This window comes from Homo sapiens, chromosome 15, assembly GCF_000001405.40.
Source record: "Homo sapiens chromosome 15, GRCh38.p14 Primary Assembly".
Lineage (NCBI taxonomy): Eukaryota > Metazoa > Chordata > Mammalia > Primates > Hominidae > Homo > Homo sapiens.
The window spans coordinates 22,800,403-22,822,693 of record NC_000015.10 but is presented as its reverse complement, the minus strand read 5'-3'; the positions used below and the strand labels follow the sequence as shown (position 1 = coordinate 22,822,693).

Here is a 22,291-nt window from a genome sequence, read left to right as displayed (position 1 = left end):
GCCACCACGCCTGGCTATTATATTTTTAGCAGAGACGGGGTTTCGCCATGTTGGCCAGGCTGGTCTCGAACTCCTGACCTTAGGTGATCCGCCGTCCTCGGCCTCCCAAAGTGTTGGGATTACAGGCGTGAGCCACTGTGCCCGGCCTAGAAACATTCTCTTAACAATACAAGTGAATGGAGATGCTCCGAGGTTTCAAAAAAGCACCTGGGAATCCAGGGGGCAGGGGTAAGGCAGGGGACAGGAGGGAGGACTTTAAGCTGTGGGGGTGTTTGTGGGTTTTGCAATGATTGGGGGCTGCATCCAGTGGGCAGAGGCATGTGCAGACAGCAACCCCCACCCCCATCAAAAATCATCCCATTCTCGTCACAACTGCTGAATGTCTCCTCGGACTTGTAACTGAAAAATATGCCTATAATAATCAGAGCCTAGAAACTATTTTATGTATGAAACAAAGTAATTTTTGCATGGATTTAATATATGCTGAATTCTTCAGACATGTCACTTCCATGTAAATTGAGGGAGGATTGTTCTTTGATCAAAACTTCATTAAGAGTTATGCTCCATCTGAGGATCATTTTGTTGATAGCAAGACCTCAAGTGTCCCAGTCAATAACATTACACCCCCACGTCAGTCTATATCTGCAGCTACCAGATTCTCAACCACTCCTCACAAGGTGTGGGGTCGGCCAGCTTCAATAGGTCTTCTCTTATAGTGGGACCTGAGCATTTACATATTGAAAGGGATGTTTTGTTTTAAAGTATTGTCCTGGTATTTCTCCTTTATATTACAGTTAGGGCATTAAATTGATGGTTTGAACTTGTGTGTATAAGGAGGTTGTGTTTTCCATGAAATCCATTCCAACATCACAAATGGACCTGAGAGGGCTGGGAACTGCTGGCTATGCAAACCAGCAAGTGTGGACATGCAAACCAGAGAGTGTGGACAAGAAAACCAGCGAGTGTGGACAAGAAAACCAGTGAGTGTGGACATGCAAACTAGGTGTTAACATGCAAACCAGCGAGTGTGGACTTGCAAACCAGGGTGTGGACATGCAAACCAGGGTGTGGACATGCAAACCAGCCAGTGTGGACAAGAAAACCAGTGAGTGTGGACAAGAAAACCAGCGAGTGTGGACATGCAGACCACCGAGTGTGGACAAAACCAGTGAGTGTGGACGAGAAAACCAGCGAGTGTGGATATGAAAACCAGGGAGTGTGGACATGCAAACCAGCGAGTATGGACATGCAAACCAGCGAGTGTGGACATGTAAACCAGCAAACTGATGTGGAGGCAGTTTTGTGCTGGAACCTGCCTAAACTTGTTGGTAAGCAACACAGGGTGGTCTACTTAAAGTGAAATCTATACTTTAAGTCTGTTGTAATCACGTAGATAGTAGTTTTTAGTGTATTTATCAAAATAAAAAAAGGACGGGCATGGTGGCTCACGCCTGTAATCCCAGCACTTTGGAAGGGCGAGGTGGGCGGATCACGAGGTCAGGAGATCAAGACCATCCTGGCTAACATGATGAAATCCCATCTCTACTAAAAATACAAAAAAAATTAGCCGGGCATGGTGGCAGGCGCCTGTAGTCCCCGGCTACTCAGGAGGCTGAGGCAGAAGAATGGCGGAGCTCGCAGTGAGCTGAGATCGCGCCACTGCACTCCAGCCTGGGTGACAGAGCGAGACTCCGTCTCCAAAAAAAAAAAAAAGAAAAGAAAAGAAATTATGTCAAAAGATATATAAACAGGGCTATATGAGGAATCTAAACTTAAGAGATGCCAGGTCTTTGTTCTCACAGAGCTTCACGCTGGAGGGAGTGAAGTGCTGAGGTGGAGATAGAGTGGGCAGGGTACACCAGGAAAGGTATGTGGGGAGGGGCGGGTGGCAGTCAGACTTGGGAGGGTGGCCCAAGGGGAGCCACTGTGGGAAGGGAAGGCGCCCATGCACAAGGCCCCAGAAGAGAACCCGAAGGAATACCAGGCCACGGAGGCTCCCCGCAGGGCCTGAGGATCAGGCGGGAGGGTGAGGGCAGAGGGCTAGCCTGCGAGCACAGCCCACTGATGCACGTTCCCAGAGAACACAGATCTACAGTAACAGATCAGGGTGGACACACGGTTCCTCTGCCCTGCCAGGAAGCATCCAATTTGAAGACGTGGTTAAAAAAGTTGGCACTCCTACTGCAAACTTTCTTGGCAGTGCTGCTAGAAAGGAATTACCTGGATTGGTCAGCTTTTCCTCCAGCTCAGCCTGAGTTGTCACACTCTCAGACTTTGGGGAGTGGATAATCAGCACGACGGAGCCTGCACAGCTTAGCAGGCACCCCAACTTGCCCAAGATGTTGAGCTTTTCCTTCAGGAGATAGGAAGCTAAAATGGACCTTTATTGAAAAAAGAGAAATCATTAAAGTTTAAACCAAACTACCTGACCTTTCTTCTAACAGCAGATATTTTATCTAGAAAAACCATTTTCTTTTTCTTCTTTTTTTCCCTTTAAGAGACCACCTCCCACTCTGTTGCCCAGGCTGGAGTGCAGTGGTGCAATCACAGCTCACCACAAGCTTGAACTCCTGGGCTCAAGTGATCCTCCTACCTCAGCCACCGGAGTAGCTGGGACTACAGGTGCATGCCACCACACCCAGCTAATTTTTTAAAAATTTTGTGTAGAGACTGGGTCTCACTAGATTGCCCAGGCAAGTCTCAAACTCCTGGGCTCAAACGATCCTCTTGCCTTGGACTCCCAAAGTGCTGGAATTATAGGTGTGAGCCACCATGCCTGGCCAGGATTTTCACACCAATTCCATGTATAACCACTACGTAGTTAATGATACACATAATTTACACCACTATATTACTATGTCAGCACATATAAAATACACCAGAGTATAAAAAGTTTTATGACTGACCAAAAATAAAAGTAATGCTTCCTTTCTTATAAAAGGAACCAATCAAAAATACTAATATCTATGCTACATGGAAAAGTAGGGTACAAAAACTGTCAAAATAATTATAAGTAATGCATGATAAAAACAAAATAAATTAAGTGAAAAATGCACAAACAAAAGAAAAAATAAAAATGCTAATAGTAATTGCAGTAGTAGAAGTAGTATGGGGTGGCTATTTCCTCTAATACTGAAAACTTTTAAAAACTGGTCACATTATTAATGCAAAAAAATGTATTCTTCAAAAACATCTATAATCTCCAGGCTTCTAACTTGTTTCTTCTCTTATTTCCCTGTGTAATTATCAGTATACAATCTGAATTGGAACACCTTGCCCTCAGTAAGTCACAGGACTGGTCATTGTCACTTTACTCATGTCTGTGCTGAAGACGATCAGAAAACAGGAACGTCCGGGAGGAGGGCATACCAGGCTCAGGTATGGACCGGATTACTTCCTTTAATACCTATTTTAAAGATAAGGAAACTTGAGCCTCAGAAAGGGTCAGCATTGAACCTAAGGCCACAAAGCTAACAAGAGATACAAGCACGGTCATGACACACCCACAGGTCCTAAACGGCCTACTTTTCCCTTGTACCACTTCACATCCTTGTCCCTAGACAGCCTGTTCTTAAGAAGCTCCCAACAGTGTCATTGGGGAAATAAGCAACATCACTGAAAGAAACAACAAAAGACATGAATACACAACTAGATGTTAAATAGAGAAGCTCCACCGAGTAGCTGCCTGGAAAAGGAGAAACCAGAAATGCAGGGGGCTCACAGGGCAAAAAGTGGGCCTGGAACTGGCCTCGGACAACGGGTGGACTATGCCAAGATGGGAAAGGGTTGCCATGCACGAAAGTGGACAGTATGAGCCACGAGGCCAAATCATCTCTTATTCCATTGTGGAATACCAGAGGACAGTGCCATTTTCATTCATTCATTCATTCATTTATTGAGACAGAGTCTCACTCTGTGACCCAGGCTGGAGTGCAGTGGAGCAGTCTCGACTCACTGCAACCTCTGCCTCCCGGGTTCAAGCAATTCTCCTGCCTCAGCCTCCCGAGTAGCTGGGATTACAGATGCCCGCCACCATGCCCTGGGGGATTTTTGTATTTTTAGTAAGGACGGGGTTTCACCATGTTGGCCAGGCTGGTCTCAAACTCCTGACCTCAAGTGATTCACCCGCCTCGCCTCCCAAAGTGCTGGGATTATAGGCATGAGCCACTGCGCCTGGCTGACAGTGCCATTTTTAAATTGGGTTATCTGACTTTTTACTGATGCACTGTAAGAGTTTCTGTTTCGTTTTCTTTTGTTGAGACAGAGTTTCCCTCTTGGTGCCCAGGCTGGAGTGCAATGGCGCAATCTCGGCTCAATGGAACCTCCACCTCCTGAGGTCAAACAATTCTCCTGCCTCAGCCTCCCAAGTAGCTGGGATTACAGGCATGTGCCACCACACCAGGCTAATTTTTTGTATTTAGTAGAGACGGAGTTTTACCATGTTGGCCAGGCTGGTCTCGAACTCCTGATCTCATGATCCACCCGCCTCGGCCTCCCAAAGTGCTGGGATTACAGGCGTGAGCCACCACGACCGGCAAGAGTTTTTATGTGTTCTAACTACAAGTCCCTTATCAGATATATACTTTGAAATTTTTTCTCCCACGAGTTTTCAATTCATTGATGGCATCCTTTTAAGCAGAAAGGTTTTTAATTTTGATGACATCGAATTTATCTATTTTCCTTCTGTTGTTTGTGCCCTTCGTGATCCACCTGCCTGGGCCTCCCAAAGTGTGGGAATTGAAGGCATAAGCCACTGTGCCTGGCCAGTTAAATTTATTCTTAAGTATTTCATCATTTTGGTGCTACTGCATATGAAATTGCTTTCTTAATTTCATTTTTGGTTTGCTCACTGCTACTGTATATAGATGCAATTTTTTTTTTTTTTCTTTGAGACACAGTCTCGCTCTGTCACTCAGGCTGAAGTGCAGTGGCACGATCTCAGCTCACTGCAAGCTCCGCCTCCCGGGTTCACGCCATTCTCCTGCCTCAGCCTCCCGAGTAGCTGGGACTACAGGTGCCTGCCACTACGCCCGGCTAATTTTTTGTATTTCTTTTAGTAGAGATGGGGTTTCACCGTGTTAGCCAGGATGGTCTTGATCTCCTGACCTCGTGATCCACCCACCTCAGCCTCCCAAAGTGCTGGGATTACAGGCATCAGCCACTGTGCCCAGCCGTAATTTTTTTTTTTTTTTTTGAGACGGAGTTTCGCTTTTGTTGCCCAGGCTGGAGTGCAATGGCCCGATCTCGGCTCACTGCAACCTCTGCCTACTGGGTTCAAGCGATTCTCCTGCCTCAGCCTCCCGAGTGGCTGGGATTACAGGCATGCGCCACCATGCTTGGCTAATTTTGTATTTTTATGAGAGACGGGGTTTCACCACGTTGGTCAGGCTGATCTCGAACTCCTTACCTCAGGTGATCCACCCACCTCAGCCTCCCAAAGTGCTGGGATTACAGGCCTGAGCCACTGCGCCTGGCAGATGTAATTTTTTTTTTTTTTTTTTTTTTTTGAGACAGAGTCTCACTCTGTTGCCTGGGCTGGAGTGCAGTGGCACAATCTCGGCTCACTGTAACCTCTACCTCCTGGGTTTAAGCAATTCTCCTGCCTCAGCCTCCTGAGTAGCTGGGACTACAGGCATGTGCCACCACACCTGGCTGATTTTTTTTTGTATTTTTGTAGAGATGGGGTTTCACCATGTTGGCCAGGCTGGTCTCTAACTCCTGACCTCAGGTGATCTTCCCGTCTCAGCCTCCCAGAGTGCTGGGATTACAGGAGTGAGCCACTACGCCCGGCCTCAGATGTAATTTTTATATAGTGATCTTGTGTCCATCGACCTTGCTAAACTTATTAGTTCTAATAATTTCTTAGTGATTCTTTAGGACTCTCTATATAAGATCAGGTCCTCTGCTGGGTGTGGTGGCTCATGCCTGTAATCCCAGCACTTTGGGAGGCCAAAGTGGGTGGATCACCTAAAGTCAGGAGTTCAAGACTAGCCTAGCCAACATGGCAAAACCCCATCTCTACTAAAAATACAAAAATTAGCTGGGCGTGGTGGTGGGCACCTGTAATCCAAGCTCCTCGGAGGCTGAGGCAGGAGAATCACTTGAACCCAGGAGGCCGAGGTTGCAGTGAGCCGACAGCACACCACTGCACTCCAGCCTGGGTGACAGAGTGAGACTCCATCTGAAAAAAAAAAAAAAAAAAAAAAAGGCTGGGTGCGGTGGCTCACACCTGTAATCCCAGCACTTTGGGAGGCCGAGGCAGGCAGACCACAAGGTCAGGAAATCAAGACCATCCTGGCTAACATGGTGAAACCCCGTCTCTACTAAAAATACAAAAATTAGCTGGGCATGGTGGTACGCGCCTGTAGTCCCAGCTACTCGGGAGGCTGAGGAAGGAGAATCACTTGAACCCGGGAGGTGGAGGTTGCAGTGAGCCAAGATCACACAACTGAACTCTAGCCTGGTGACAGAGTGAGACTCTGTCTCAAAAAAAAAAAAAAAAAAAAAAAAAAAAATCAGGTCTTCTGCCAATAAAGGCAATTAAATTCTTCCTTTCCTTTCCAATATGGATGCCTTTTAATTTGTTTGCTTACCTAATTGCTGTGGCTATAACATCCAGTACAATGATGAATAGATGAGGTGAAAGTAGGCAGCTTATTTTCTTCCTGATCTTAAGGGGAAAACATCAACCCTTGTGCCATTAAGTATGATGTTAGCTGGGGTACTTTGACAGAGGCCCTTTGTCAGTTTAGGAAGTTATTTTCTATGCCTAGCATATTGAGAGTTTTCGTCATGAAAGAGTATTGAATTGTACCACATAATTTTTGTGTGTCTTTTGAGATGATCACATGGTGATTATTCTATTGCTGTGGTATATTACACTAATTTATTTTCAATGCTAAATCTACTTTGCATTTCTGGGATAAATCCCACTTGTATAATCCTTTTTATATATTGCTGGATCCAACTGGTTAGTATTTTGTTCAAAATTTCTCCATCTATATTCATAAGAGAATTAGTTCATAGTTGTTTTTTTAATGAGCTTTATCTTTTCTTTGTTTTTTTGGGGGGCGGGGGAGGGACAGAGTTTTGCTCTGTCACCCAGGCTGGAGCAGTGGTTCAATGTCAATTCACTGCAATCTCTGCCCCTCAGCCACCCAAGTAGCTGGGATTACAGGTGTGTGCCACCACACCTGGATAATTTTTGTATTTTTAGTAGAGACAGGGTTTTGCCATGCTGGCCAGGCTGGTCTCCCTGGGTTCAAATGATCCACCTGCCTTGGCCTCCCAAAGTGCTGGGATTACAAGCATGAATCACACTGCACCTGGCCTAGATCTTGTACTAGAAGAAAAATAACGGTATAAAAGATAATGACATAAAATAATGGCATAACAGGTCAATTGTCAGAATTGGAATATGGAGGTTGATTTGATACATGTATCATAACAAGGTTAAATTTATCGAAATTGATCACTGTACTGTGGTTATTTGGAGAGAATCTGAATATCTCTACTCTTAGAAAATACTAATTGATGTGTTCAGGGGTAAAGAATCATAACTTATGCTAAAATGGATTTTTTTTTAAAAACAGGAAAAAAAAATCACATCATATTCATATAGAACAGTGCTTCTTGACCAGGGGTGGTTTGCCCCGCAGGGGACATCTGCCAGTGTCTGGAGACATTTTGGGGAGGTTGAGTGCTACTGGCATCTGGGAGGTGAAGGCCAGGATGCTGCTAAACACCTCACAATGCACAGAATGGCTCCCTCAACAAAGAGTTATCTGGCTTCAAGCATCAACAGTGCTGAGACTGAGATACCCAGATACAGAGAAAGTGTATGATGAGGCAAGTGGGTAAGATGTTAGCAGCAGGTGTGTCTGGGTAAGGGGAGATGGACATTGCTTTGGTTATACTTAATCCTGTTTCCTTTCTGTAATTTGAAAATATTTCCCAAAAGTTTTTTAAACCTCTTTCTAAACACAGCATGTACAGATGATTACTTTATCATACATTACACTATTACAGAAAGAAATGAACCTATTTGGGGGCTCTCTATTCTATTCACTGCTACACAGACTTATTTTTCCAGTGCCACATTCTTTTCATTTCTGTTTCTATGTAATTCCAGCAACCCCATCCCATTATCAAGAACAGAACTGCTTTTAAAATATACATATATACATACATATTGGCCAGGCGTGGTGGCTCAGGCCTGTAATCCCAGCACTCTGGGAGGACGGCGGGCGGATCACGAGGTCAGGAGATCAAGACCATCCCAGCCAACACGGTCAAACCCCGTCTCTACTAAAAATACAAAAAAAATTAGCCGGGCATGAACCCAGCAGGTAGAGCTTGCAGTGAGCCGAGATCGTGCCACTGCACTCCAGCCTGGGCGACAGAGCGAGACTCCGTCTCAAAAAAAAAAACAAAAAAAAAACTCATATATACATACATATATGCACACTTTGATAATCATCTTTGATTGTTTTTTTCCAAATTAATTTTAGTTTTATTCTGTTTAAAAGAAAAGGTCTTACTGGGATTCCAAGTTGAAGACAGGCTTTTTATCCAGAACACCATCTGACATGGTTCCTACAGTGAGTAACACCTGCAGATGTGGAGCAGTGAACATTTCTGGTGAAGTGACTTAATCATCAAAGTGCATGAGAACAGTTCTAAGGAAATTAACTGAGCAAAACATTTTAGTATATGTGCATTCAATGTGCCACGTGCCAAGATCACCAGGTCAGGTTGTTTATCTGCCTGATTATCTTTCAGGGGGACGGGTCACAGAAGCTGGAGGAGTGTTTCCCAAAGTGAGAACACTCTTGCCCTCCCAGCGCCTCAGAGCCATCCGAAACACAAAGGGACACCAAGCCACACATGATAGCAGTGTATGTGTTCACGAGAAAAATGTGCCACACACACATTCTCAAGGCGTCGCATGTGAAAAACATGGTATTTAGGTCACAGAACCTTAATGCCTACGTGACTCTAAGGTGTAAACTTCAATACACCCATCATGGACACACTTCTCTGCAAGGATTTGGGCATCTGTCTGGAATACAGCAGAAAACCAATGTATCCATGAGTTAGAAACTTGGATTTTATTTCTCTTCTACCCTATTTTTATTTCTAATGATTTCTTCAAAGACAAATCAGAATATAAATAGGTTCACACGAGGATATATGTTATTTAATAAGTATCTCATCAATCATTTTCGCAGTAAGTAAACAGAGAGTCCAGCTGCAATGTTTGATGGCTTGCAGCCCTCCAGTTCCCATTTCCCCCCTTTCCCCTTTGCCCCACAACTGGGCAACCTTATAGGAAGCTTACTCATGTGTATCAATTAAAAAGATGATTTAAAATGGAGAAATAAAATTAAAAAAATAAATAAAATGAAATTAAAATTTAAAAAGAAGCCTGCGCACACACTGGGTCCCTGGAGTCCTCAGTTCCCAGAGTCCTCAGTCCCTTGGCATGGGCAAAAACTTCACTCCATGCCAGCCCGGCCTAAGCATGCAAACCGCCCCCCAGCCCACCCCACCACCTAACTACAATAAAAATCCAAAGGTCCCCCTCACTCGTCTCACTCAGAACCAAACCCGGGACCTTCTCCTAAGAAAATCCATGTGCTATTGACTGCGTCAGTCATAAATCCTATTTCACATCCATTGATGCCGTGTATTATTCATCCCAACCTCTGTAATTTCCTGGGCTGAGGTGGGGACTGTCCGGCATCCAGCAAGGAATGCTAAGCACCCCAATAAAACACCAACTCAGTCATTTTGCTTAATGAGTTCTCAGAATAACTTGCCAAGGTGTCAGAAGACTCTCTAGTCTCTAAGATGTACTCCAGGACAACGACCAGGAGAATGAGAGCATCAGATTCACTGATAAGCAGGAAAAATGAGTGACAGTTTCAAATATACTAAATATCTAAGAAAAGGGTTAATACTACCCAGAACTACATTTGAAGGGATAAAATTAAACGATATAGAGTAGAATACTGAAGATCTATCTTCTTTTTTTTTTTTAAGGCAGAGTCTCGCTCTGTCTCCCAGGCTGGAGTGCTGTGGTGCCATCTCAACTCACTGCAACCTCTGCCCCCCAGGTTCAAGCAATTCTTGTGTCTCACCCTCCCGAGTAGCTAGGACTACAGGTGGTCGCCACCATGTCCAGCTAATTTTTCATATTGTTAGTAGAGACAGGGTTTCACCATGTTGGCCAGGCTGGTCTTGAACTCGTGACCTCAAATAATTCACCCTCCTTGGCCTCCCAAAGTGCTGGGATTACAGGCGTAAGCCACCATGCCCGGCCTGAAGATCTATCTTCTATTACAATTTTGCTCTTATTACTTTAACAGAAACATTTAAAATGAAAAGTTGTTATATCTACACTACACATTAAATACCAAACACAATCTTGGCTCTCACCCGAACGGTACTCCAAGGGCGCCCAGGGGGGTTACCAGGACCGTGGGGACCGCCGTGTAAGCCAGGAAGTTTCCAATCTGGCCAACAGCCACTGTCAAGAAAATCACAAGGATACTACTTGCAATTACAGAGCTCTCTTCCAGCACTGATCACAGTTGAATTACGCTAGGCTCTGCCCTGAAAGGGCTACTTCATTCACATTACTTGTGAAGAATCACATCTGGGGTGTCATCTGCACATTTAAGGGGTCAGGGGTCAGGAACCACACCTTCACTGGTCCCATCAGTCGGGTGAGTAGGTTCAGCCCTCCATGGAAATGCCGAACCTAACCAGCAGTGACTGAAATGGGCGCAGCACTGGGCATATCTCCGCTCTCTTAACACATCCTTGTTTTCACACAAATCAGGCAGAACTTCCTGTGCACCCTCTAGTGGCCTGGGACCTACTCTGGCATAGGCAGCTGGCCACGGTGACAGGCCACTGGCATAGCAAGAGGATACAGTACTGCCGCACAAGACTGCAGCAGGGACATCACCCAGATGGAGCTTAAAGAGGAGCTCTTCAAGGAACAGAATTGGTATTGCCACGTAATGTCGTATTAAAAGACAAATGTGACAAACAAAGTACATGATGTTTCTTTTTTTTCTTTTGAGACAGAGTCTCACTCTGTCAGCCAGGCTGGAGTGCACTGGCGTGATCTTGGCTCACTGCAGCCTCCACCTCCCAGGCTCAAGCAATCCTCCCACCTCAGCCTCCAAATAGCTTTGAAAACAGGTGCATCCCACCATGCCCAGGTAATTTTTGTTTTTGTACAGACAGGGTTTTGCCATGTTTCCCAGGCTGGTCTTGAACTCCTGGGCTCAAACAATCCACCTGTCTCAGCCTCCCAAAGTGCTGGGATTACAGGCGTGAGCCACCATGCCTGGCCAAACATAATATTTCTGAATTTCAAAGACAATTGTCCTTTATAATACATTTAGAGTTCTGAACTCTAATATTATTATTTATCTTTACATTATAGCACATGACCTGATCTTTGACTCATGAAATTCTCTGTTAAACCAACTGTGCTGAGAAAAACAAGGCAGCCTAACATGGAATTTCACCAAATGCCAACAGCCCGACTACATGAGTAAGCAGGAGCTGTTTTAATTTCTTCGGGCCCAGGACAGATCAGCCTGGACTGAATTCACGGCTAATCGTGGGCAGCAGGGGCCTCCACCAGCTCCTAACTTGTCCTTCTGCACTCTCATCCTGGGAGGAAGGGGAGCAGGGAGAGTGCCCTGGGGAGGCAGGGACATCCGAACTGAAAGGCACGCTTAGGGCCTGGGGAGAGGCCACGCGACACCCTCTTCCAAAGAACAGAGCCACCCTAGCCCAGCCACTCCAGCCCTGCCCAGACCAGTGATGGATTCTAAGAAAGGAAAAGACCAGACTTCGCCACACAGGCTACTTACTTGCGATTGTGCCAGCCCACCACACAATGTCTGTTAAATAGGAAGTACCTATAAAAAATGAGATAAAAAATGTCAGAAAAGTGGGTTTACCAGCTACGTATATCAGGAAGAGGTTTACAAGCGAGAAACTTTTGACATGAAAACTAAAATTGAAAAGAATGAATGTCATACTGTTTATTCACCCTAAAGAGAATCTTTCATCTATAAATGGCAGCATTAGAGACCACCGAAAGTGGCAAAGTCAAGATATTTTTTGCAACCAACACAGGCTGACCCAAATAAGGAAATGAGATCTTTATACATCAGTTTTCTTTCACCCAACAAGCTACCACAAAGATATTCCTTTGATGGAGTTTTATTTTTATCTCAAAAGGGTTTGAGTCTTTAAAGTCCAACTCTCTCATGCATTTACTGTAGTCCATTTATATAAGAATTTTATTATCATAGGGTTTGACTTCCTGCTTAAACAAGTCACTCAATTTTCATTATTTATAACTCTTCTGATACGACTCTTCTTTCAGCCATGCGGGAACCACATCCTTACACTCACCTGATGCTCTGACATTTGACCTGAGACTTGCCGGCATCCTCTCAGGTTACCCCACCCATCCCACGCAGGGCAGGCGGAGCCCCAGCACCTTCCTCCCTCCCCCTGCCTCTTGACAGGTGTGTATGGTGAGAGGTCTCCCAACCTTTGAGACAGGTTTGTCCTTCAGATATGGCAAAATGCTCCTAAGCACTTTTTTTTTTGAGGCAGAGTTTCACTCTTGTTGCCCAGGCTGGAGTGCAATGGCGCGATGTCGGCTCACCGCAACCTCCGCCTCCTCCCAGGTTCAAGCGATTCTCCTGCCTCACCCTCCCTAGTAGCTGGGATTACAGGCATGTGCCACCATGCCCAGCTAATTTTGTATTTTTTTTTAGTAGAGACGAGGTTTCTCCACGTTGGTCAGGCTGATCTTGAACTCCCGATCTCAGGTGATCCGCCCACCTCGGCCTCCCAAAATGCTGGGATTACAGGTGTGAGCCACCGCGCCTGGCCTTTTTTTTTTTTTCAGACAGAGTCTCACTCTGTCACCCAGGCTGGAATGCACTGGTGCGATGTTGACTCACTGAAACCTCCACTTTCCGGGTTCAAACAATTCTCCCGTCTCAGCCTCCCGAGTAGCTGAGACTACAGGAGCATGCCACCACACCTGGCTAATTTTTGAATTTTTAGTAGAGACGGGGTTTCACCAAATTGGTCAGGCTGGTCTCGAACTCCTGACCTCAGGTGATCCGCCTGCCTCAGACTCCCAAACTGCTGGATTACAGGTGTGCAGCACGCCTGGCCTGCTAAGCATTTTTTGAGGAGATTTTTTGTTGTTAACCACAGATTACAGTAATGAATTCTTTTTTCCTTTTCCTTTTTTTGAGATGGAGTATCACTCTGTCGCTGAGGCTGGAGTGCAGTGGCACGATCTCAGCTGACTACAACCTCTGCCTCCTGGGTTCAAGCAATTCTCATGCTTCAGCCTCCCAAGTAGCTGGGATTACAGGCGTGCACCACCACGTGCGGCTAATTTTTGTATTTTTAGTAGAGAGGGGGTTTTGCTATATTGGCCAGGCTGGTCTTCAATTCCTGGCTCCAAGTGATCCACCCACCTCAGCCTCCCAAAGTGCTGTGATTACAGGAGTGAATCACCGTGCCCAGCCACAGTAACTAATTCTAATTGTTTTTATTCTCAGTAGGAAAACCACAATTTGGTATAAGACACATAGCCTGCTAGCCTGCTTAATGGAGCAGCAGAGCTACAAGTATTAGAAAAAGTACTTACAAAATGAAATGGGGGCTGGGCCCGGCGGCTCACACCTGTAATGCCAGCATTTTGGAAGCCTGAGGCAGGATGATCACTTGAGCCTAGGAGTTCAAGGTCAGCCTGGGCAACATAGCAAGACTCTATCTCTACAAAAAATTTAAAAATTAGCTGGGTGTGGTGGTGCATGCCTGTGGTCCCAGCTATTCAGGAGGCTGAGACAGAAGAATCGCTTGAGCCCAGGAGGATGAGGCTGCAGTTAGCCATGATCATGCCACTTCATTCCAGCCTGGGTGATAGAGTGAGACACTGTCTCAAAAAAAAGAATATTGCTATTTGATCACATCACAGTAAAAACTGATTTAGGCAAGAATCATTAACGGATACTAAAACAAGCGAATGAAAATTTACTGAGTCACCTCCATGGGTTTTTCTTATTAATTATGAACAGAAAAAGTTATCTTTATAGATAAGCCTGATGGACACTGGCTTAGCCAAGTGGTCAAAGTCCCCAGCATCAGTTGTGCCACCTGCCTGCTGTGGCTGTCTCCCAGCCCTGAGCCACGCCCTACCTCTGCTGCCAGGCTCCACTGGAGAAGACAGCCTGGCACCACTGGGGCTCCTGTCTGGTGTCCCTCTCAGTGTATCTAATACAAACAGGACCCAGGGTGTCCTATGAAGCAGAAAGTTTAGCGAAGCTTAAGAATGTCCCATGGTGGGCACTGTAGGAGAGTCAGCTATTAATACAGAATCAATGTTAGATTTCTAAATGTGCTAATCAAAGTGGCTATCCCAAAATGCATGCCGAATACTTGAGTGAAAGGTCATCAGGTCCAGAATACTAGTGTGAAAAGTCTGTGGACCAGTTTCCCAACAAAACCACCATAACTAATAAATAAAGTACTTAACAAAGTGGGCCGGGTGCAGTGGCTCATGCCTGTAATCCCAGCACTTTGCGAGGCCGAAGTTGGTGGATCACAAGGTCAGGAGACCGAGACCATCCCGGCTAACACAGTGAAACCCCGTCTCTACTAAAAAAAATACAAAAAAAAATTAGCTGGGCATGGTGGTGGGCGCCTGTAGTCCCAGCTATTTGGGAGGCTGAGGCAGGAAAATGGCATGAACCTGGGAGGCAGAGCTTGCAGTAAGCCGAGATTGTGCCACTGCACTCCAGCCTGGGCAACAGAGAGAGACTCCATCACACACACACACACACACACAAGTGAATTTAAACTCTGTGGAAATTATCCTAAGGGCATACAGAAAATATCTCCTTTTTCATTCCTGATTTTAGTAATTTGATTCTTCTTTTTTGCTTGGTCAGTCTAGCTAAAGGTTTGTCAATTTCATTGTTCTTTTCAAAGAACCAACTTTTGATTTTGTTTTTATTGGGTTTTTAGATTTTTTTTTTCTTTTTGAGACAGGGTCTCACTCTGTTGCCCAGGCTGGGGTGTAGTGGCATGGTCTCTCAGTTCACTGCAACCTCCATCTCCCAGGTTCAAGTGATTCTCCTGCCTCAGCCTCCCAAGTAGCTGGGATTACAGGCGTGGGCCACCACATCCAGCTGTCCTTTTATTGTAATGAACATGGTTTGGTCAGGACGTTTTGTGAAGTCATGGGATTCCTGCTACAGCAGCTGGACTGTGTGACCCTCCTACAGTGAAAGCTGGTCAAGGATGACAGTGACCAGTGCAATGAGGCCCATAGGCACCCCCCTTTCACTGCTATGGTTATCCCAACATTGATCATCACATAGTATATGTTTTTGGCAGTTTATAAAATGTCAAAAGTCACAAAATGAGGAGGAACCTGGAATACCAGGTACACAGGAATGGCAAAGTGAACAAAATGGTTTTTGTTCTTTTCCCAAAGGGTCCAGTTCAGTTCCAAGCATTTCAGGCCCTGCAACTTGTACTCTCCATCAAGAGCCTGGATTTGCACAAATCAAAAGGTGTATAGGTCACCCTCACCTTTTAAACCAGTATTAGGCAAAATTTTTCTGCATCCACAGACATTAAGCAAGTCAGGTTTTTCTCCATCCAGGTACCTGTCCCATACCCCTACCCATAAACAAAAGTGAAGCTCCTGCACATGGTCCCTGAGAGCCTCGGTCCAGGGGTGTCCCCTGTTCTGCCCTGCAGGAAGTGCATGGCTGTGTGCCCAGCTTCCTCACTGAGTTGGCTGCTCCATTTTCCCTCCTCCTTCTTTTGCCAGGAGCTCCTAGGAGTCTGCATTCCATATTAGCCCTTGGCCCGTCATACAGATATCTGTGAGGATATCTAAAACAACTGGGTTTCTTCACAGTTTCACCCTAAGCATTGCTGCCCCTAAGCACTGTTGTTCCGAAAGCTCATTAGCCAGCACTCTCAGTAGGTATCTATGCCCAAGCTTCTCCTCTTCCCAGTTGATGACGGTCCTCTATTAATCTGCAGGTCCTCCGGCCTCAGCAACAACAGGGAGCTGCAGCACTGAAGGATGCAGAGGATGCTGTTTGTCTTGCCACACTCACGTCTCCTCCCCCACTCCTAGGTGTGGGCTGCAGAGGATATGATCGCTAAGTTCCATTGGTTTTCCTCTCATTGGAAACCCTGGGTGCTGAGAGTTGCATAGCTGTTTATAACAGCTAAACTATAAAACAAAGAAGTGTTTGTGCAAACACAAAAGAGCCTTGCCAGGATGACAGTATCAACTGACAGTGATGCTGTCCAACCAGGGGCATGTGGCTTTAGACCTTCCATTTAGTTATAAATGTGTCGGAAATGTCCTTAAAATACAGCTTTAGGCCGGGCGCGGTGGCTCACGCCTGTAATCCCGGCACTTTGGGAGGCCGAGGCGGGCGGATCACAAGGTCAGGAGATCAAGACCATCCTGGCTAACACGGTGAAACCCCGTCTCTGCTAAAAATACAAAAAATTAGCTGGGCGTGGTGGCGGGCGCCTGTAGTCCCAGCTATTCGGGAGGCTGAGGCAGGAGAATGGTGTGAACCCAGAAGGCGGAGCTTGCAGTGAGCCGAGATCGCGCCACTGCACTCCAGCCTGGGCGACAGAGTGAGACTCCATCCCAAAATAAATAAATAAATAAGTAAAAAAAAATAAATAAAATACAGCTTTATAGTATAAAAATATAGATGGGCATCCAATGTATTTACCTTCTAATTATTCCACAAAAAGATTGCTTCCACTTATGTGTGCTTCTAACATCAACAACAGAAGTTGCTGATAAAAGCCAAGCAAGAGTGGATAACTAGTTCTTTGTAAATTAATGTATAAAAAAGATGTAACATAGTTTTTACAGATTTTTCTTTTTCTTTTTCTTTTTGAGACAGAGTCTCACTCTCTTGCCCAGGCTGGAGTGCACTGGTGTGATCTCTGCTCACTGCAACCTCTGACTCCTGGGTTCAAACAGTTCTCCTGCCTCAGCCTCCTGAGTAGCTGGCATTACAGGCTGCGCCACCACACCCAGCTAATTTTTGTATTTTTAGTAGAGACAGGGTTTCACCATATTGGTCAGGATGGTCTTGTACTCCTGACCTCAGGTGATCCGCTCACCTCGGCCTCCCAAAGTGCTGGGATTACAGGCGTGAGCCACCGCGCCCGGTCCTACAGAGTTCTCTAAGAAGGACTAAGAATAAATAAATATTCTTTCCTGACACCGGCACAGCCAGAGGAAGGCATTAACTGCCTTCTGAAACATTAACTGAGCACTGCTGTGCACCAACTTAACTCATGGACTTAATATTTGAAGTTCTTTTGCCTGTTGGTTATTAGATATGCAGAACTTATTTTTCCTAAGAAATAGTTTGGCAATTATGGAAAAAAGACAAAGTTTTATGACATATACTATCTAATTTTAAGATTTACCATAGGCTGGGCATGGTGGCTCACGCCTGTAATCCCAGCACTTTGGGAGGCTGAGGCAGGTGGATCATGAGGTCAGGAGATTGAGACCATCCTGGCTAACACAGTGAAATCCTATCTCTACTAAAAATGCAAAAAATTAGCCAGGCATGGTGGCAGGTGCCTGTAGTCCCAGCTACTCACTCGGGAGGCTGAGGCAGGAGAATGGTGTGAACCCAGGAGGCGGAGCTTGCAGTGAGCCAAGATTGCGCCACTGCACTCCAGCCTGGGCGACAGAGCGGACTCCGTCTTAAAAAAAAAAAAATTTACTATAAAACTATATAATCAAGACAGTATGGTACTGGCATAAGGATAGACAAACACAACGGAATAGAGTTCAGAAATCGGTCCATACATGTACAGCCAGATCACAGACTGAATGAAGCACCAGTACAATTCAATGGAAAAGTCTCCAACAAATGGTGCTGGACCAACTGGATGTTGTAGAGAAAACGTTGAAGTTTAATTCATGCCTCAGACCATCCTGTAACTCAACGTGGCTTACGGACCTAACGCTAAACACTAAAGCTGTGAAGCTCTAAGAACACACAAGAAGATGCCATTGTGACCTGAGGAGAGACAAAGATTTCTCAGGCAGAAATCAAAAGCACCGACCAGATAGGAAAAAAACAGACAAATTAGACTTCAACAAAACTAAACATTCGTGCTCCTCAAGAGGAACTTTTAGGCCAGGCGCAGTGGCTCATGACTGTAATCCTAGCACTTTAGGAGGCCGGGGCGGGTGGATCACGAGGTCAGGAGTTCAAGACCAGCCTGGCCAAGATGGTGAAACCCTTTCTCTACTAAAAATACAAAAATTAGCCGGGCCCAGCTGGGTGCGGTGGCTCACACCTGTAATCCTTGCACTTTGGGAGGCTGAGGTGGGTGAATCACCTGGGGTCAGGGGTTCGACACCAGCCTGGCCAACATGATGAAACCCCGTCTCTACTAAAAATTTAAAAAATTAGCTGGATGTGGTGGTTCATGCCTGTAATCCCAGCTACTCAGGACGCTGACGCAGGAGAATCGCTCGAACTAGGGAGGCAGAGGTTGCAGTGAGCCAAGATCACGCCACTGCATTCCAGCCTGGGCAACAGAGTGAGACCCTGTCTCAAAAAAACAAAAACAAGGCCGGGCACGGTGGCTCACGCCTGTGATCCCAGCACTTTCGGAGGCCGAGGCGGGCAGATCACAAGGTCAGGAGCTCGAGATCATTCTGGCTAACACAGTGAAACCCCGTCTCTACTAAAAATACAAAAAATTAGCCGGGCGTGGTGGCGGGTGCCTGTAGTCCCAGCTACTCGGGAGCGTGAGGCAGGAGAATGGCATGAACTTGGGAGGCAGAGTCTGCAGTGAGCTGAGATCACGCCACTACACTCCAGCCTGGGCGACAGAGCAAGACTCTGTCTCAAAAAAAAAAAAAAAAAAAAAATTAGCCGGGCCCGGTAGCAGGTGCCTGTAATCCCAGCTACTCAGGAGGCTGAGGCAGGAGAATCACTTGAACCAGGGGGGCAGAGGTTGCAGTGAGCCAAGATCACGCCACTGCACTCCAGCCTACGCAACAGAGTGAGACTCCGTCTCAAAAAAAAAAAAAAAAAAAAAAAGGCACTTTTAAGAAAATGAAAAGGCAAGCCACAGAGAAAATATTTCCAATCCCTGTATCTGACAAAAACTTGTATCCAGATATATAACATATATCTGTATGGTTAATATATGCGTATATATGTGTGAGTATATATATACATACGTAATATATACATATACACACACACACTCTTACCAGTCAATAATACGGTAGAACCCAGCCAGGCGTGGTGGCTCATGCCTATAATCCCAGCACTTTGGGAACCCAGCCAGATGTGGTGGCTCATGCCTATAATCCCAGCACTTTGGGAGGCCGAGGTGAGTGGATCACCCGCGGTCAGGAGTTTGAGACCAGCCTGGCCAACATAGTGAAATCCCATCTCTACTAAAAATACAAAACTTAGCCAGGCATGGTGACAGCTGCCTATAATCCCAGCTACTGGAGAGGCTGAGGCAGGAGAATCGCTTGAACCCGGTAGGCAGAGGTTACAGTGAGCCAAGATCGCACCACTGCACTCCAGCATGGGCGACAGAGCAAGAGTCTCTGTCACCACCCACCCAAAAAAAAAAAAGTTCATCAACAGGAGAATGGATATGTAAACTGGTATACTCAAACAACACAACACTACTCAGCAATAATAAGGAACATATTGCTGATACCCACATCACGATGAATCTTCAAACTATGTCCAGCAAAAGCAGACGTAAGAGAATACATACTATATAATTCCATTTATATGAAGCATGGGAACAGGCAAAATTAATTCAACCTATGCAGATGGGCATCAGAAGAGTAGGCACCTTGGTATGGGGGATGAGGCACCAGGGAACTTTCTAGGGTGGCAGCAACAATCAATTTCTTCACTGGGCTGTTGGTTACACAGGCATATTCATTTGTCAAAACTCATCAAACTGTACCTTTAAGATCTGTGCAGCTTATTCTATGCAATTATACCCCAATACTTAAACAAGAAATAGTTGATAAATGACAGTTAAATTTCTTGGTGGTGAGGATTTCACAGGTAGCACACTTATTCGTGCACTCATGGAGGTGTGTACATTAAACATGCACAGCTTTTTATATATTAATCATACCCCAATAAAGTGGTTTAAATTTTTTTTTTTTTTTTTTGAGACAGAGTCTCACTCTGTCGCCCAGGTTGAAGGGCAGTGGCGTGATCTCGGCTCACCACAACCTCCACTTCCCGGGTTCAAGTGCTTTTCCTGCCTTAGTCTCTCAAGTAGCTGTGATTACAGGCATGTGCCACCACGCCTGGCTAATTTTTGTATTTTTAGTAGAGACAGGGTTTCACCATGTTGGTCAGGCTGGTCTCGAACTCCTGACCTCGTGATCTGCCTGCCTCGGCCTCCCAAAGTGCTGGGATTACGGGCGTGAGCCACCGTGCCCGACCCTTAATTTTTTTAATTTAAAAAGTTAAGTTTCTGGGTTAGCCCACACAATGCTGACCCTAATACAACTAACCACTGTAATAAAGTTTCTTGCAGTTTCTATGGGAAATGTCATTCCCTGTTTCAGATGGAAATTAAGAGTACAGCACATATTAACACATGCTTCTTCCTCTCCATCCTCCCTCCAGGGAAGCTCAGTGCAGTATCTCTATTCTATTTCTTTATTCCATCTATCAAATATTTACTGAGAATCATCAGTGTACACAGTCCTCAGTGAATACAAACACATAAAAAGTCACAGCCAGGCGCAGTGGCTCACGCCTGTAATCCTAACACTTTGGGAGGCCAAGGCATATGGATCACAAGGTCAGGAGTTCGAGACCAGCCTGGCCAATATGGTGAAACCCCGTCTCTACTAAAAATACAAAAATTAGCTGGGCGCGGTGGCGGGTGCCTGTAGTCCTAGCTACTCGGGAGGCTGAGGCAGGAGAACTGCTTGAACCCCGGGAGGTGGAAGTTGCAGTGAGCCGAGATCATGCCACTGCACTCCAGCCTGGGTGACAGAGCAAGACTCTGTCTCTCAAAAAAAAAAAAAAAAAAAAAAAAGTCGCTAGAAGTGTTGTCTGCCCCTACAGAGCACCCTCTTCCTCTCTGCCTTAACTAAAGGCAATCTCTCTCATCCTTTCCCCCACCACAGTGATCAACACTGCCCCCACGCACCCTGAGGCCTGAGAAGCCAAGCTGGCCGACTCCTTGATACATGACGGGTAGATGTCAAGTATTATACCTGTACTAGCGTGCTCTGCTGATGTGAACAGAAAAATCTAGGATAATGAGCTCTGTCATGTGCACTGGTAAGGAACTGGAAATGTCCATGCCCTGTAAAAGTAGAACGGTAACATTCATGCAGCCCTGAATATGTTTGCAAAGAACATCTAACAGGGGGACAAGCTCACGACAGACTGAACACAACCACAGGACATAAACTGACATACATGGGGTGGGCTCAGTGTATACTGCCTCTTTTTTTTTTTTTCTTGAGCTGGAGTTTTACTCTTGTCACCCAAGCTGGAGTGCAGTGGCATGATCTCGGCTCCCTGCAACCTCAGCCTCCCGAGTAGCTGGGACTACAGGCATGCGACATCACACCAGGCTAATTTTTTTTTTTTCTTTTTTTTTTTTTGAGACGGAGTCTCGCACTGTCGCCCAGGCTGGAGTGCAGTGGCGTGATCTCAGCTCACTGCAAGCTCCACCTCCCGGGTTCACGCCATTCTCCTGCCTCAGCCTCCCAAGTAGCTGGGACTACAGGTGCCTGCCACCACGTCCGGCTAAATTTTTTTTGTATTTTTAGTAGAGATGGGGTTTTACCGTGTTAGCCAGGATGGTCTCAATCTCCTGACCTTGTGATATGCCCACCTCGGCCTCCCAAAGTGCTGGGATTACAGGCGTGAGCCACGATGCCCGGTGCCAATTTTGTATTTTTAGTAGAGACGGGGCTTCACCATGTTGGTCAGGCTGGTCTCGAGCTCCTGACCTCAGGTGATCCGCTCACCTCAGCCTCCCAAAAGTGTTGGGATTATAGACGTCAGCCACCACGCCCAGCCCACTGCCTCATTTTTTAAATTACATGATAAAGAGCTGTACCACCCAACGTGTAGGTCTTAACTGCATCCTGATTCTAAAAGATGAACTGGGCAAAACTTGCAAGATA

At 45.8% G+C, this 22,291-nt stretch overlaps 1 protein-coding gene across 2 annotated transcripts in view; it reads right to left on the bottom strand.

The window, feature by feature from the left end:
• Positions 1-22,291, bottom strand: part of NIPA1 (NIPA magnesium transporter 1) — a 43,565-nt gene that overhangs the window by 7,096 nt on the left and 14,178 nt on the right. For both annotated transcript variants that reach the window (NM_001142275.1, NM_144599.5), the window contains exons 2-4: positions 11,898-11,945; positions 10,441-10,531; positions 2,221-2,381 (exon numbers count right to left, since the gene is read on the bottom strand). In NM_001142275.1, the coding sequence (NP_001135747.1) occupies positions 2,221-2,381; positions 10,441-10,531; position 11,898 (253 nt within the window). In that variant the 5' untranslated portion in view covers positions 11,899-11,945. The remainder of the gene's footprint in view (positions 1-2,220; positions 2,382-10,440; positions 10,532-11,897; positions 11,946-22,291) is intronic.